The following is a 16,215-nucleotide window of genomic DNA, read 5'->3' as shown; positions in this document are numbered from 1 at the left end:
GGCTCTGGGATGCGGCACAGGACCCTGGGTACTTCACAAGCACCCCAGGTGAGTTTAACCCTAGGGGAGTTTGGGGGAGCACTGCCGAGGGTGCCCTCGTGACAGCCTGTGGGCAGCCAGGGGTTACTGTTCCTGTTTACCAGACGTGGAAACAGACCCTGACTCCTCAGGGTGCTGAGATGAGACTTTTGGTCCCAGGACCGCCAAGAGGACCTCTGACCACCAGCCTGAAGGTCAGAGAGAGGACAGAGCAGGAAGACAGGGCGCCTTGTAGAGTGGGAAATAGTGGGGACAGAGTCTGAGAAATAGGGTGGGAGACGTTGGGGGCAGTATATGGTCCCACTTCTGATTGCATCCAGCTCCTCAAGGGCTCAGGGGACCTCTGGGGCAACCCAGAAAAGCCCCTTGTGGCCTACATGCTTTGCAGTTAGGCCACCTCCAGGGGACACTGGGGCCCCAACTTGTCCAACTAAGACTGCAACAGGGAGATAAGGCAAGAACCCTCTCTCTCATCTTTCCCTGGCTGGGGCCAAATTCCCGTGGGTGCTTAGCTCCCCTGAGACCCCTCACAGGCTCTTTCCTCTGACCCTACCTCCCTGGGCCTGCACCAGAGCCTCTTCTCAGGCCCCTTCTTGAAGGCTAATGAGACCAGGCATGGCCAGCCTGACACTGCAGGCTCTCAAATGTCTCATTGTCCTCCCCTCACGCTGACAGTAAGCTGCAGGCTGCCTCTGCCCATGGGGCTACTGCTACTAAGATACCACCCCCAGCAGCTCCTGCAGTGGGGCAGCTCCCAGGAGAGGGTCCTGGGCCCCGCCTTCTGTTGCCCTGACTCTCTGACACCCCCTGGAGACCCTGAGCATTGCATCTGGCAGCCCAGGTCCTTGTCTCATCCCTTCCCAGCTGAGCCCCAGATGGGTCCAGGGAGTGTGTATGTAGAACACATGTTGCCTCCTGGTCTGGGCCTCAGAGCAGCCAGCTCAGCCTCCTCACCTGCAAGGCTTTCCAGAGTCCAGGTGGGGGCCCAGCTGTTTGCCTTAAAGTGCACGGAAATGACTGCCTTTCAAGGGACCTCCTCTCTCTCCTGCGCAACTGCTCCTCTCTGTATTCTTTTTCCCCCTTTGCACTTTGATGACTCAGGTTTTCACAGGCACAATAGTTCCCCCTTTGAAACCTAATTCTGGATGGGCACAGACCCAGGTGCGCACACACACCCTTCTTCCTCCCTCTCCCGGGCTTGCTAGTCCTTGCTTTAGCATGAAGACTACCCTCTATCTTAGCTGGAACTTCTCCTAATGGAAACTAGCCTCTCTGCCACTTGGAAAGAAAAGTAGAATTTTCATTATTTGTTTAACTGATTTCCTTCAAAGGTTGGGGTGATGGGTTAGGGTAGTGTTTCTCTGGGAGTGGGAGGTACAAGGAGCACCTGCATCAGAGTCCAAGCTGTAGAGGGGCTTGTTGAAGGCCCCACAGAAGCAGAGTCTTCCTTTGGTGCTTGGCAGTAACGTCTTCCTTTGGTGCTTGGGAACTGGTGGTCTAGGGGGTGAGCAACATTCCCTAGCACTGCCTCCTTCTAGAAGGGAGTCGCAGCAACAGTGAGGCCTGTCTCAGGGAACACACATGGTTTGGGAGGTTTGATTTGGACACAATCTGAGAGGAGCCAGGACAGACTTCAAAGCCCACTCTCCTTATGCTTTTTCTACCAAAAAAAAAAAAAGAATAGCACAGTATTAAGATCATAGCCCATATTGAGCAAACATTCCATTTTACTGTGAAACAGTGACTCATATGTTTAAGCAAGGTATTAAGAAGTACTTAGATAAGATTTGTGTATCTGTGTTCCCAAATGGAGCTGTTATTGAGCTCTGCCTACATAAACCTGTGCTTCTAAACTTCAAGATAATAACAGAACATGATCTGAACAAACTGATTTCTTCCTACCATGTTCAGCTTCTGGGGAATTGAAGCACATCCGAGAAAAGATTGTTCGTTCCTTCCTGGACATCTTATTGGTTTACCTCACTGAAGAGATCCCTCCAGGTAATGCTAGTGTGGTGTGCTGGTTACAACACGTAGGTGCTATTTTTATTATTGCCATTGTACAGATGGGGAAACTGAGGTACTGAGAGGTTTAGTAACTTTGGGTCCAAAGTCTCTAGTAAGCATCCAAACTAGGGTTCGAACTCAGGCAGTCTGTGCAGTGAACCACTGTGCTAACCCCCCGTCAGGAAACATAAGGGAGCTTTGCCGCTAATTTGATGAGAAATGCCAATCGAGCAAAATGTAAAATAACAAGAACATGTCAAGCTGCCATTTGACATATTTGTTTACTTAATCTTTGGGGTTTAGCTTTGAGACAGAATTTCACAGGCTCCTCCATGACTCGTCTCCGTCAGAAATGTGCCCACGTCTTCTTACTCACACCAGTGTTTCTCTCTGTTTAGATCCAGTTAATCCTCCTCATTAATCTTCAGCTCCCAAATAAAGGCCCCTCTGTCCTCACTAGACCCAGAATATTTTCCTGCCCTGTACCAGGCCAGCCCCCGCAGGAGCTCCGAATCCTTTTGAGAACCACACTCGTGTTTTTCTCCCAAGGTACACAGAAACAAATATGTCTGTGACTGACGCGCAGCAGAGTCTATCGAGTAGGCAGGGGGCTGAGACAGGAAAGGATCTTTTGGACAAAAGGACCATAAATCATATCCTTCCTGTGACCTGGACCAAGTGGTCTTCCCAAGACCCAAGCACTGCCCCTCAGGTGAGCAGAGAACTGGGACAGGACACAGCAGAGTGGCAGGGACCTAGGGTGTGGCTGCAGACCATGGCTGTGTGCAGGCCCCAGCAGAGCCCTTTGTCATAAATATGGGATGGAAAACCTCAGCAGGGAAGCTGACTCTTTCGTTCACCTAAAGTTGTTCACCTCAGTGATTCTGTGGCTTTGGGCTTCTGAGTCTAGCCATGGCCCCAACCAGGGTTGGAGCAAGAGGTGGCAACCCATCTTTCAACCTTATTCCTTGTCAGGGTCAGCTGTCCAGGGTGTAGTTCTAAAGGGGGCACAAAACATCCCTGCAGTCAATAGAAGACTCAGAGCCAGTTAAGGCCTGTGCCAGATAACTCAGCCACTACATAGGGATCTCTCTGTTCCCACCAGGGTGGGCAGTGCCCTCCAGTGGAAAACAAAAATTCCTTGCACTCATCTTAAGATGCAGTCCCAGGAAACTGAAACCCCAGACTGCAGAGTGCACAGTATAGTGCTTTTGTTCTGCTCATAGGCAGTTTCTTTAATCATCTAAATTGAAAACAGTTTAGTATGCCATTGGTGTAAAAGATGTTTGGGGTAGAAAACCACATATAACAAATGCCTTATTTGGTACATTAGCAAAGAAATACACAGTTTGGGTTAATGTCAAATCGTTCTCTTCAGCCTACAAAACAAATATTAAATGAACATTTTTTAAAATATCCATTTGAAGGAATATCAAGTCACAGTCCAGCCCAGAACACCCACCCTCCTCACTCCTGATGTGCCCCAGGGCTTGAGGATCTCCTGGGTCCCTGGAAGCACCAAAACTCAGAAACTGTGAGCCCCGGCCCCTTCCTGACCTCATCTTTTCGATTCTACAAACCGAAGTTGTAGAGCTATTTTTTTTTCTTTTTTACTTTTTGGATTTTAGTATTTTTAAAACAGCTTTATGGTGATATAATTTACATACCAGACCATTCACCCATTTAAAATATACATTTCAAATAATTTTTAGGATACTCACAGAGTTGTGCCACCATGCCTACTAACTAATTTTGAACATTCTTATGGCTCCAAAAAGAACATTAACAGTCACCGCCTATTTTCCTACCTGCAGCCCACCCCAGCCCTGGGCAACAGCTAATCTACTTTCTGTCTCTACAGAGTTACCTATTCAGGACATTTCCCATAAATAGAATTATACAAGATGTGGCCTTCTGTGACTGGCTCTTTCACCCAGCATGATGTTTTCAAGGTTCCTCCATGTTATGGTGTATATCAATACTTCATTCTTTTTCATGGCTGCATAATACTCCATTGTGTGGATATAGTGTGTTTTATTCATTCACTTGTCATTCGATGGAGAAAACCTGTTTGTTTAACAATGGCTCTTATTGTTTTCCTTTCCAGCTCCCAATCAGAACAGGTGTCCCCAAAGATACCCAGACAGAGAATGTGCCCCCAGGCCACCTTGTGCTTCCTTCCCCCACTGGTAGAATCTGATTTTTTGACAACCCAGGCGAATCCTCAAGGTTGACTCTTGGGCTAGACTCACAGGTCAAGGCCGACTACTGGGCCAGGCGCAGTGGCTCACACCTGTAATCCCAGTGCTTTGGGAGGCCAAGGCAGGAGGAATGCTTGAGACCTGGAGTTTGAGACCAGCCTGGGCAGTATATGGGTCACATTTTCAAGTAGCAATTTCTGGAACTCAGTGATTGTCACTGTCAAGGGTATGAAGAAGTAGGAATGCTGCTGTGGTCTGAATGTCCCCCTGAATTTATGTGTTGAAATTTAACCACCCATGCAATAATATTAAGAGGTGGAGCCTTGCGGGTGATTAGGTCAGAATAGGATCTGCCCTTGTGAATGGGATTAGTGCCCTAATAAAAGGGCTCCAGGGAACTAGCCAGCCCCTTTTGCCCTTCTACCTTCTGCCATATGAGGATAAAAAGAAAGCCTTGAGCAGACACTGAATCTGCTGGTGCCTTGATCTTGGACTTCTCAGCCTCCAGAATTATGAGAAATACATTTCTGTTCTTCATAAATTACTCGGTCACAGGTATTTTGTTATAGCAGCAGAAACGGAGTAAGACAAACATCAAGTGTTGCCCTCCATAGCTCGAGGGTCTTGGCCCCACCTCAGCCCCTGCCCAAGCACAGCCACCCTAGACAAAACACACACTCTAAGTAAAATCCAGCTGTCATTCGTCCTGCAAATTCAACTCTGAAGCAGGTCCCCAACCTCGGAGCCTCTGCTGAGCTGACCTTTCCCTTTGGCTTTGGGAGGCTTCCTGCTCCTCCTTGGGTCTCACCTCTGGCCACTGCCTCCTGGGGCCTCAGAAGGGGATCACTGGACAGGAGGAACAGCAGTCAGCATGCACTCACCTGTGCCTGCTCAGTCATCAGCCAGTTGGCATTCTATGGACTACACTGTCCCATGTTCACTGTTAAATATTCAGGTGGAGCTGGATTTAGCAGCAGATTTCCACTTAATCTCCTTTGAGTGTTTCAGGCCCTCAGGAGAGCTCCCAGGATAACTGCTCTGGCGGCTGCCCTCCTCTCAGTCTGTGTCTAGCCCTTCCTCCTTGGTGGCGAGGGCTCCAGGCTCTAGCCCACCCCGGCCTCCCTCTGGATACCAGGGAGAGGGTGGAAGCCTTGACCAAGGTGAATGACAGAAATGCAGATTTGGGGAGGGGATCGAATGATGAAAAATCCTCAGAGAGGCAGCTCTTGCCGTTCATGCTGTGTCCCAAGGATACACAAATGAAGGAAGGGGACACTCAATAGTGTTATTCCGACCCCTGCCCACCTCCACTTTCTCGATCCTTGAGAAGCTGTGAGAGGGGATGCCCTCAGCCTTTCCTAAAATCCCAGCAGGAAGAGGACAGCAGCTCCGAAAAAAGAAGTTTCCAGGATGGCACAGGGCCCAAGTAGCAATTAAGCATTTTTCGTGTGGTCCATAGGGTGGCAGACTTCTTTCCACAAACAGAAGTGCCGTCCCTCTAAACCTGTTACTGAGACTAATGTTTGAGGATAGCTGCAGAATGGTCCCTATCTGCTTTGAGGAGTGGCCTCTGAGTCGCCCATCTTTTCCACTTCAGCTCCCCTGTGCTGTCCCCACTTCAACCACTAGATGGTAGCAGACACCACCAGTTGGTGAGGAAAGTGTTGGTGCAAAATAGGAGGTAAAGGCTGCAATTGAAGGCTCCTCCCTATCTTGAAGCTATGTCAGTTTCATCTGTTTCTAATTTAATTTAATTGCATCTAATTCATTTTTCTTATAGGTACATTCTTATAAGTAAATTATTTTTATATTTATGAAGAACATATTCCTGAATATAAAGAATACTCACAAATGTATTCTTCTTAACCCCCCGAGCCTCTCCTTTCTCCGCCCTTTTGTCTTCAGTAATAGGAATGGGGACCAATTCTACATTCCTCAAAATTCGGATAATAAGAAATGAGAATGGTCTCTACAAAAATAAAAATAAAAATTAGGCAGGCTTGGCCAGGTACAGTGGCTCATGCCTATAATCCCAGCGCTTTGGGAGTCCGAGGCAGGCAGATCACTTGAGGCCAGGAGTTCAAGACCAGCCTGGACAACATGGCTAAACCCCATCTCTACTAAAAATACAAAAATTAGCTAGGCATGGTGGTGTGTGCCTGTAATCTCAGCTACTTGGGAGGCTGAGGCACGAGAATCACTGGAGCTCAGGAGACAGAGGCTGCAATGAGCTGAGATCGTGCCACTGCACTCCAGCCTGGGCAAGAGCGAGACTCTGTCTCAAGAAAAAAAAAAAATTAGCCAGGCTTGCTGGCACAAAGCTATGATCCTAGCCACTCAGAAGCCTGAGGCCAGAGGATCGCTTGAACCCAGGACATCAAGGCTGCAGTGAGCTATAACCGTGCCACTGCACTGTAGCCTGGGTGACAGAGAAAGACCCTGTCTCAAAAAAAAGAAAATGCATTGATTCTTAACCTTTCCAGTGGGTATGACATACAATTCCAAACTGCATATCAGGATTTGCATAACGGGCCAGGTGCAGTGGCTCACGCCTGTAATCCCCTTGGGAGGACAAGGCAGAAGGATTGCTTGAGCCCAGGAGTTTGAAACCAGCCTGGGCAGCATAGTGAGACCCCCCTCTCTACAAAAAAAAAGAAAAATTAGCCAGGCATAGTGGCACATGCTTGTAGTCCCAGCTACTTAGGAGGCTGAGGTGGGAGGATCGTTTGAGCCCAGGAGTTCAAGCCTGCAGTGATCTATGATCATGCTCCTGTACTCCAGCCTGAATGACAGAAAGAGACACTCTCTCTCTCTCTTTTTTTTTTTTTTTTTTTTTTTTGAGACGGAGTCTCGCTCTGTAGCCCAGGCTGGAGTGCAGTGGCGCAATCTCGACTCACTGCAAGCTCCGCCTTCCGGGTTCACGCCATTCTCCTGCATCAGCCTCCCGAGTAGCTGGGACTACAGGCACCTGCCACCACACCTGGCTAATTTTTTGTATTTTTAGTAGAGACGGGGTTTCACCGTGTTAGCCAGGATGGTCTCGATCTCCTGACCTCGTGATCCACCCGCCTCGGCCTACCAAAGTGCTGGGATTACAGGCGTGAGCCACCGCGCCCGGCCCCCTCTCTCTCTTAAAAAACAGAAAAGAAAATATGAAAATGGGTCCAATTAGTAGGTTGGTGCAAAAGTAATTGTGGTTTTCCACTACTTTTAATGGCAAAACTGCAATTACTTTTGCACCACCCTAACAGATTACACAGCAGCAACTGGCATATTAGTGAGCACCACGGGGTGTCCTGGTGCCTGCAGCCACCTTAGCCTGCCCTCCGCTGCTCTGAGACAAGAACTTGCCTCATCCAGGATGGCTCTGCTTGCAGGGAGGGTCACAATTTAGAAAGGGCTCCACAAAAGTCCACCAGGCAGCAGTCAATGGTACCTCGAGAAAAGCTATGAATGTCAAAGGACAAGCCATGGTCAAAATGGAATCCTGGACGTGGAAGGGAACTTTATATCCAGGACCTGAGCCTGAAACCAAGGGAGAAAGCGACTCAAGGGCTGCAAGAAGGTCCCAAGTCACCACAGCAGGTGACAATGTCCGTAAAAGGAGACAAAAACAAAAACAAAAACAAACAAAGAAAGGACCCTGTGGGGGCCTGGCCTGGCTTAAGTGGGTCCTGGAGTAAAGACTGTCCTGGGCCGGGCGCGGTGGCTCACGCCTGTAATCCCAGCACTTTGGGAGGCCGAGGCGGGCGGATCACGAGGTCAGGAGATCGAGACCATCCCGGCTAAAACGGTGAAACCCCGTCTCTACTAAAAATACAAAAAATTAGCCGGGCGTAGTGGCGGGCGCCTGTAGTCCCAGCTACTTGGGAGGCTGAGGCAGGAGAATGGCGTGAACCCGGGAGGCGGAGCTTGCAGTGAGCCGAGATCCCGCCACTGCACTCCAGCCTGGGGGACAGAGCGAGACTCCGTCTCAAAAAAAAAAAAAAAAAAAAAAAAAAAAAAAAAAAAAAAAAAAAAAAAAAAAAAAAAGACTGTCCTGGGCATCCCCTGAGCAGGGAGAGTTGATGGATGGAGAACACACGCAGAGCCAGCCCTCCAGGCCTCAGCCACCATAGTCTTCCTGGAGGCTTCTAAGAAATAGAATGGAACACGATGTGCTTTCCTATTGTATGTTACATTTTTCTGGACTAAAAATTGAGGAGCAGAGGAGACAGCGAGACCAGGAAGCTACATTTAGAGGAGGCTCCCAGCCTCTGGGTTAAGATGGAGGGCTCACATCCTTGCCAGCTCCATCAGTAATGTGGATTTCTTCACTCCAGGCACACAGTGGCCTGGTGGGGTCAAATATTTAACCTAAAACAAATGGGACCAAATTTCAAAAATGAGAGTTGCAGCTGGTCCCTGCTAAGCAATCTCAGCAATGGAATCTTTCCAGCCCATGTCAGCTCACAGCCCCTTCCTGCCCCCAACCCTTCTGAGCAGCGTACCACCTGCCCAGAGCCCACGAGGCTGCCTCTTATCCTTTCTTCAAAAAGACCCTGAAATCCACTCTCTCCGAAAAAGAGACCCTGGCCGGGTTGGGGAAGGGAGGAACACCAGTCACACCCCTCCCCAACCTGGACACAACCTGGTCCTTGCCTTCCTCCCCAGGTTGCCACAGAGGCATAGGCCCTGGCTGAAACCGACAGCAGGAATACCACACCACACATCTCAGTTCAGTTGGTGCTTTTATTCTAAAGCCAGCAGGTTGGTGTGTAGTTGCCTCCCTGGTCTGAATCAGTGCCCCTTTCAGCCCCTGCCCTGCTCCCTGTCCCTTGCTCCCACCCCAATCTGGACAGAGGACTGCCCTCCTCAAAGTCACCAACCTGCTCTCAGGGCTGATCCTTGGAAAGGAGTTGTTTAAGGAAACACCCTAATTGCCTTCTAATATGTCAATATCAGATTAGATTGAACCACCACCATTTGCATTTTAATGGAAAAGCTGTGGGAATTGGGGGCTTCAGTGGTTAACTGGTAAAGTGTGGTAAGAGGGGGCCTCAGAGGCATGACAATTCTGGCAGAAGGTCACAGGTCACAGGCCACAAGCCACAGGCTGACTGGGACCAGAGTCTTCAGGGGGCTGATTGGCCTCCCTGGGCTCCCTACACCTGCCTTGGGGTGACTGTCTGCTGCCCTCTGGGAAGAGCCAATCTTGAGTCTGTGGTCTGAAACTAAGGAGTTAACCAATCGAGGGAAGATGAACTACCCACAAATTGGTCCTCACAGACCTCACGTGAAGGGCCTGAGGGTCAGGCCAGGACCTGGGACTCTGAGCAATGCACCCAAGAGCCTGTGCCCAGGAATGTCTAATTCAGACCGAGGGATACATGTGGGGAGAGGGGCAGGGCCCAGGAAAGAGAGCAGGTCACCTGGGGAGGGGAGGGGGAATGTCCTTTCTGCCATTTACCACCTCTCTGGCAGCCTGAGCAGGGAAGAGAACCAGGCTGGCCACCTTTCACACCACAGCCTCAAGCTGTGACATCCTCAGGCCAGCCTGGGGACCATGTCATGATGGGAGGTATGTCTGCCTGTGTGCATATGTGCGTACTAGACAAGAGAGATCAGGGTAGTCAGTGTAGGGACTGGGAGAGTCATGGGAGCTGGGTTTCATGGCAGAAATAAAAATCCAGGCTGTGCTCAGGAAAAGGATGGTGGGTATCCTGAGACCAGGCAAGCGCCTAAAAATTGATGTTCTTCAAGTCCATGGAGCAGCGGTACCTGCCGTCCGGGAACCTGGAGCACAGCAGGTTGGGCAAGCAAGGACAGGTGTGGTGCTTGCGTTTCCTGAAGAAGGGGACCTAAGGAGAGAAGAAATCAACACCTTCACCAAAGGGAGGTAGGTGGGCCTCCTGGCAGCAGTCTCTGCTCAGCCCAGCACTGGCAAAAGTCTCACCCCCACACCCTAGCCCACTTCTCCACTGCACCTAGCACAACAATAATAGCAATTAGAGATGAGGAAACCGAGGTACGGTGTGGCTAAGCAATACGCCAAGATCACACAGCTAATTTGTGGAGGAGCTAGGATTTGCACCCAGGCTACCTGGCTCTGGAGACTCAGCACACATGTGCCTGCACACACACACACACACGCACACACATGTCCATTGATTGAATGTTTGTTGCTCATCCATTATGGGCTCAAAACCATGGTGGGTGCTGCAAGTGCAGCCGTGAATAGGACAGCCACCATCTCTGCCCTGACTCACACCCTAGAGGAGTGCTAAACCAATGGGGTATCCTCAGGGAGAAGTTAGGAGCATGGGCCCATTGTCAGACTGCCTGGGTTCAAATCCCAGGTCTACCGCTTCCCAGCTGTGTGATAATCAGCAAATCATTTGGCCTCTCTGTGCCTCAGCTTTATCATTTGTAAAATGGTTTAATAATAGCACCTACCACATGTGGTTATAAAGAGGTTAAAATAACAAAAAGCACCCAGTATGAAGGGTGGCATACAGGAAGCACTCAGCATTAGTTTTTTTATCACTGTTGTCTGTATTGGGAATATGGATCTGGAGCTGAACCACCTCACATTCCCCAAGGTTACAAGGACTGCCACATTGTCCTGACTCGTTCACCACTCCCTAGCCCCTCTTCGTCCTGGGACAGGAGGTTGGACAGGGGCTGTGATTGGGAGAGAAACCGCTGGAGGACGCTCCGTGCCTAGAGATGAGCACCGAGCCGGGGTGCAGGCAAGTCCCCGAAGAGCAGGAAACATGCCTGAGTCCAGGTGGAAGACAGCTGGTAAGCCTGAAAGCCTGTGTTCAGGAATGTCTAATTCAGACAGAGGGGTACATGTAGGGAGAGGGGCAAGGCCCAGGGAGGAAAGCAAGTCACCTGAGAGCCTGTGGAAATGCCCTAATTGCCTTCTAATATGTCAATGTCAGACTAGATTGAACCACCACCATTTGCATTTTAATGAAAAAGCTGTGGGAATTGGGAGCTTCACTGGTTAACTGGTAAAGTGTGGTAAAGTGGCTCCAGAGAGGGAGAGCAGCAGGGATGCTGTGGCTCCAGAGGACTCTGGACTGGGAGCTGGAGGTCAAGGAGTGGGAGCAAGGCAGGAGCTATGTACTTAGGCCACAAGAGAGAGTGACTTCTTAAAGTGGGCACCTCACTTGCCTCACTGTAGGCCTGACCAGGTGTGGAAGGCGATTTTGTGGGTCTACTTTTGTGTCCCTGAAGGGAAGTTCTTACAGAGCAAAGGGCATGTGAGATCCTTCCCAAATCTGAATTCATCAGATCCATAAGGGACATTAGAGGTAGTGAGTTTGCTCCACTCATCATATAAGTGTGGCCTGAGAGCAGGTGAGGTAGTTTGCCCAAGTCCACACAGCAAATTAGGGGCTGGGAATGCCCAGCTTGTTTAACAGCCTATAAGATCAGTGGCACCCCTCCACCTGAGGCTGCCCCCCAAAAACAAGGAGGCAGTGCCCAACATCAGTGAGGTATGACTAGAGGTGGCATCGGAAAACTGCAGTTCCAGTCCCAGCTCTGTCTCATTGGTTGTGTGCCTTGAGCAAGTCACATGACTTTGCTGTATGTCAGTTTCCTCAGCATTGCCCAGGGTTGCAGTGAGGATCAAATAAAGATCAGTGGTTCTCCAACCTGTGCTAGAAGTTTGTAGATGAATTATGTCAGGCCCTGTACAAATAAATGTACAAATGTGTCATCTGCAGGGCACTAAGTAAGGTGGATGCCTGTTGATGGCAGGGGCACAGCAACCCCATAGCCTTCTGCTTCCCCTTGGACATTCAGGGGCTGGATCAGGGCTGGATCAGCTATCAGAGGAGGGTGAAGTCCTCTGGAGCCACAGCCTCCCTAGACTGCCTCTCTGGAGCCAGCCTCTCTAGCCTTCCTAGCTAGAGCAAGGCCCCAGGACATCACCCTCTGCTCCCCGCATGGCCCACCCACATATGTGCACCTATGCAGTGTCTGCAGAGTACCTTGTGGCTGCCGGGGTGGCACTCCTCGCCTTCCCGCCCCAGCGGGGTGCACATCCGCAGCCCTCGAAGCCACAGGCTGATGGCACAGCAGGTGCCTGCCCCACACTGGACATCCCGCTCACAGGCCTGTAGGAGGGAGAGAGAAGGGAACAGTTCATTAGTGCACCCAAGAGAAAGCAGAAGGGAAGGGTAGATCCAAAAAGCCCTTATCAGGATGGAGCAAGAAGAGGCTGAGAGTATCACCCCCGGCCTTAGCCTAACAGAACACCCTGGGCCACACTTTATTGCCTTGCTCCCCTCGTGGGGAGGCTCAGGGCTCAGGGGGGCATTGGATCTGGATCTGAGGAAACTTCCAAGCTCCTGGAGGCCACTCAGAAGGAAGACAGTCCTCCTTTTCTGACAAGGCTGGAGGTTAGAAGGCATAGCTTTTCTAGGGCTAAGTAGATGCTCAGTGGATGCTGGTGGAATTGAATTAATTAGAATTCTCAGAGGTGGGAGGGACCCTGATGGCCCAAATTCCTTGGTGGTCAGTACTGAGCTGCCTTGGACCAGGAGTCTCCAGCCCTGACTCTGCACTGTGGTCAGTCCCTCCCCTCTGCATGGAGGCACCCCCATCCTGGCCCTCAAGTGGCCCAGCCTCAGCAGAGGGGCCAGCACCCCAGTGAACAGGTGCCTCTCCCAGGGTTTCTCTACTGACTTCCATGATTCCCAGAGAGGATCGCAGAACAGGAGCTGAGCGGCCCTGCCTGGTTTGGGGAAGGTACCATTTGTAAAGAAGGCCACATTAAATAAGCTCACATTTAACATGAGCCCACGTTAAATAAAAGCCAGAGCCGGGGAAGACAGAACTCTTAACTGCTCCAGACTCAGGTGGGGACCTGCTGAAGAAGCATCCACACTTGCCATTCTCAGAGATGCTATGTGGCTTTTCTGAGCTGAAATGCAAAGCTGGGTTTTGGATCACTCTTCTCCAATAAAAGCCTATGGGCACCTTCAGGCTGCTGTGTGGGACGTGGCAGGACCTGGAAGCCTCCTACTTGCTCAGACCCAAGAGGGAAAGAGTGGATGTCAGCTCCACAGATCATGCAGAGGAGTTACGGGTGGTGGGCACCCAGCTGTGCCTGTCTCCAGCCCAGCAAGGGCACGTCTCACACCCAGCCAGGCCACAAAAGCTTGGGGTTGGGGTAAAGGAAACCCCAGTCGACTCTTCTTCTCCCATAGAGGTGGGGCATCACTGTCCCACTCTTGGAAGAAGGATCATAAAGCCTTGGATGTGGGGACAGTTACAGTCCAGGGAGCAGGGGAGTGTAGAGGTGGTGGAGCCTGGGCTCCTGCTGAAAATCAGAAGTGGGACACCAGCAGGACATGGAGGATGTGGGGAGCCTGGGGGTTCCTGACTTCCCCTTACTGCCCTGTTCTCACCACTCACCTGTCTTTCCTGGGTTTCCCTCACCTAGGGAAAAGTGCTCTCTATTGTGCTTTTCACCGTGAAAATGTTTGCCTGCCGCTCTCAGATCTGCCTGCCCTGCTGTCACTCTGGGCCAGTGCTGGAGCTGGCACGGGTGGTGAGGCAAGCCTGGCATCCAGGCCAACCACGCTGCTCCTGCCCTCACCGCGCAGCAGCCGGGGCTTCTCTCCATTGTTCTTGCCCTCCCAGATTTTCAAGCTACCCCATAGAAGGGCAGCCTACAGTGTAAACACTTCATTAGGTATAATTCTGCCTTCACAATTATTTTTATTTTTGCTTTGGATCTCAAAAGCATTTGACTCGCCTTTAATATTTGTTCTTTTGAACTCAGTGTTTTTCCTTTAAAAGAGAAAAGAAAGAATTTGTCCTTTCTGTGAATGGTAAAATTAACCCAATTCCAGGAATTGTTTGGCATTTCTCTACATTTCCACTATCCATGTAAAAAGCTGGTGGAGGCTGAACTAAAAGTTAGTTTCCCTGCTTCCCCGACCTTTTTCTTCCAGTGGATTTTATATGGAAAGCTCTCAGGTACAGCATTGCTTTCTGCTTCAGTAAGAATGGTCCTGCTACCATAACACATCATGTGCCCCTATTTGAAGGTGGTTTGAGGTAAAAGCAAACTTCCGAGAGAAAACCATGATCTGAATATTTTGAACCAATTGTACAGTGCCCATATGCTGAACCTTTGCTTCTCTGCTTCGAGACTGGATATCTACTTGTTATCTGGATGCTTGCTTTGGGGTACACTCAGCTGAATGTTAGTGGCACCCATATTCCTCTCAGAACTAACTAGGCAGGCACAGAGTGAAAGAGTTTCAAAGATATCCTTTCTAAGCGGAGGTTAAGTTTATACAATAGAAGTTTATAAGCTTACCACCTTTAATTAAGCTTACTGCCTTTAATTAAGTCAACATGCTATGTAAATTAATATTAATATTAATATGTGAATCAGACCATAAATAAAAATTAAAATTCACACAAAAGATAAGTTAAGGTTTGCCAATCCACTTTATAAAGGAATTCCTTATTACTTAATAGGAATCTTCACTTTACCAAAGGACTGAACTTCAAAATGTTCAATGCTCTGCTAACACATTGAAAACAGGATTTGATTCATACACAGCTTCTCAAAAGCAGATCCCATTTAGTAGAGTGAGGTCTAACTAGTCTGAAAATCGCATGCAATCCCTTTAATGCATAATTCCCCATTCCCTTTGGTTCACACTGTGTTGAGCCAACAGAGCCTCCTGCATGGTTCCTGGGCTCACAACCCGTGCAGACCCTGACATCTTCCCAAAACCCAAGGCACAGAGAATGTTAGGCGACTTACCCCTGTGATCACAGCACAGTCAGACACAGTTACTAGGAGGAGCATGATTGAGACTCGCGTGGCACCTCTCATGGTCACTTGGGGTGAAGGCAAAACACTGCCTGCTTAGATGCCTCTCGCTTCCTCCCGCTCAGCCTTGTGCCTGGCAAGCTGGGGAGGCCAGGCTCTCCTGCATCCCCCGCCTCCTCCCAGATGTTTACACTCAGGATCCAGGGCTGCCTGTGGATGCCTCATCTCTGCTCTTCCCTTCTCCAACACCGATGTTACTCAGATGATCTCAGAAGCGAAGATGAGACCTGAATCTCTAACAACATCAAATCAACATCAAAACCAATAAAAATGGATACTTGGGGGGCTTTGACGGTTGCTCTAACTCTCCCAAGAACGCAGTGATTCAGACAGTTATGTATATTTCACTCAATGTTCTTTTCTGCCTCTGGGTATCCTTCTATCCTACTTGGGGCAGAGGAAAGCCTCTGGTAATGAATTAAGGGATTTGCAACATCACCATTTATGCTTCCCTGCACCAAACTATGCAACATACAAGATTATTGGTTCCCTCTCACTCACACCAAGACTTATCTAGGCATTTACCATGGGCTCAACACAGAGGTAGCTGAGAAGACAGAAGAGGGTGAGGTGGTATCCTTATTTCTCTAAAAGGTTAAAATTATAGTGAGGAGCCATAAGACAGTGAGGAAAAAAAGACCAGACTTGTGGGGCTGATGTTCCTAAGTGACACACACATAAGGATTTGCTCTCTCATGGGCTCAGGATGAACACCAGCAAGTGTCCCTTGGTACAATGACCCAAGGGCAGAAAGCCAGCAAACATACAGGGCACACACTCTCTCAGTACCCTGCAGAGCCGAGCTGGTATGGGCTGTGGCTGAAAGGTACCAGAGCCACACCACTGGCCTTCCAGTTTTAGGGGTGAGCATGAGAGTGGCCTTATCCGTGAGTGTATAAACACGGTGGTCTCAGATGCCAGTCTGGTGGGAAGTTGACTTTCGGGATGGCCCCTCCGCCTGTGAGGGAAGCCCCTGACCCCAGCCCTCTCTGTGTCATACGACCCAGAGAGAGCTCCCAGTGCTTTGTCAGATGATCTGCCTTCTCTCCACAGTAATAAAAGCCAACATTTCCCAAGGTATGTGTTGCAATATGTTAATACACAAATAAACAAATA

General features: G+C 49.7%; 1 protein-coding gene across 1 annotated transcript; it reads right to left on the bottom strand.

The window, feature by feature from the left end:
• Nucleotides 1-8,960: 8,960 nt before the first annotated feature.
• PROK1 (prokineticin 1) lies at nucleotides 8,961-15,170 on the bottom strand. Its single transcript, NM_032414.3, has 3 exons — nucleotides 15,031-15,170; nucleotides 12,233-12,358; nucleotides 8,961-10,087 (listed from the first exon to the last, which is right to left on the bottom strand). Exons 1-3 carry the CDS (start codon nucleotides 15,100-15,102, stop codon nucleotides 9,968-9,970), a joined length of 318 nt encoding a protein of 105 aa, NP_115790.1. The 5' UTR covers nucleotides 15,103-15,170; the 3' UTR covers nucleotides 8,961-9,967.
• Between the last annotated feature and the right edge of the window lie 1,045 nt (nucleotides 15,171-16,215).

The sequence above is a fragment of the Homo sapiens genome, chromosome 1 (assembly GCF_000001405.40).
Source record: "Homo sapiens chromosome 1, GRCh38.p14 Primary Assembly".
NCBI classification, from domain to species: Eukaryota; Metazoa; Chordata; class Mammalia; order Primates; family Hominidae; genus Homo; species Homo sapiens.
This window is presented reverse-complemented; position numbering and strand designations above follow the sequence as displayed.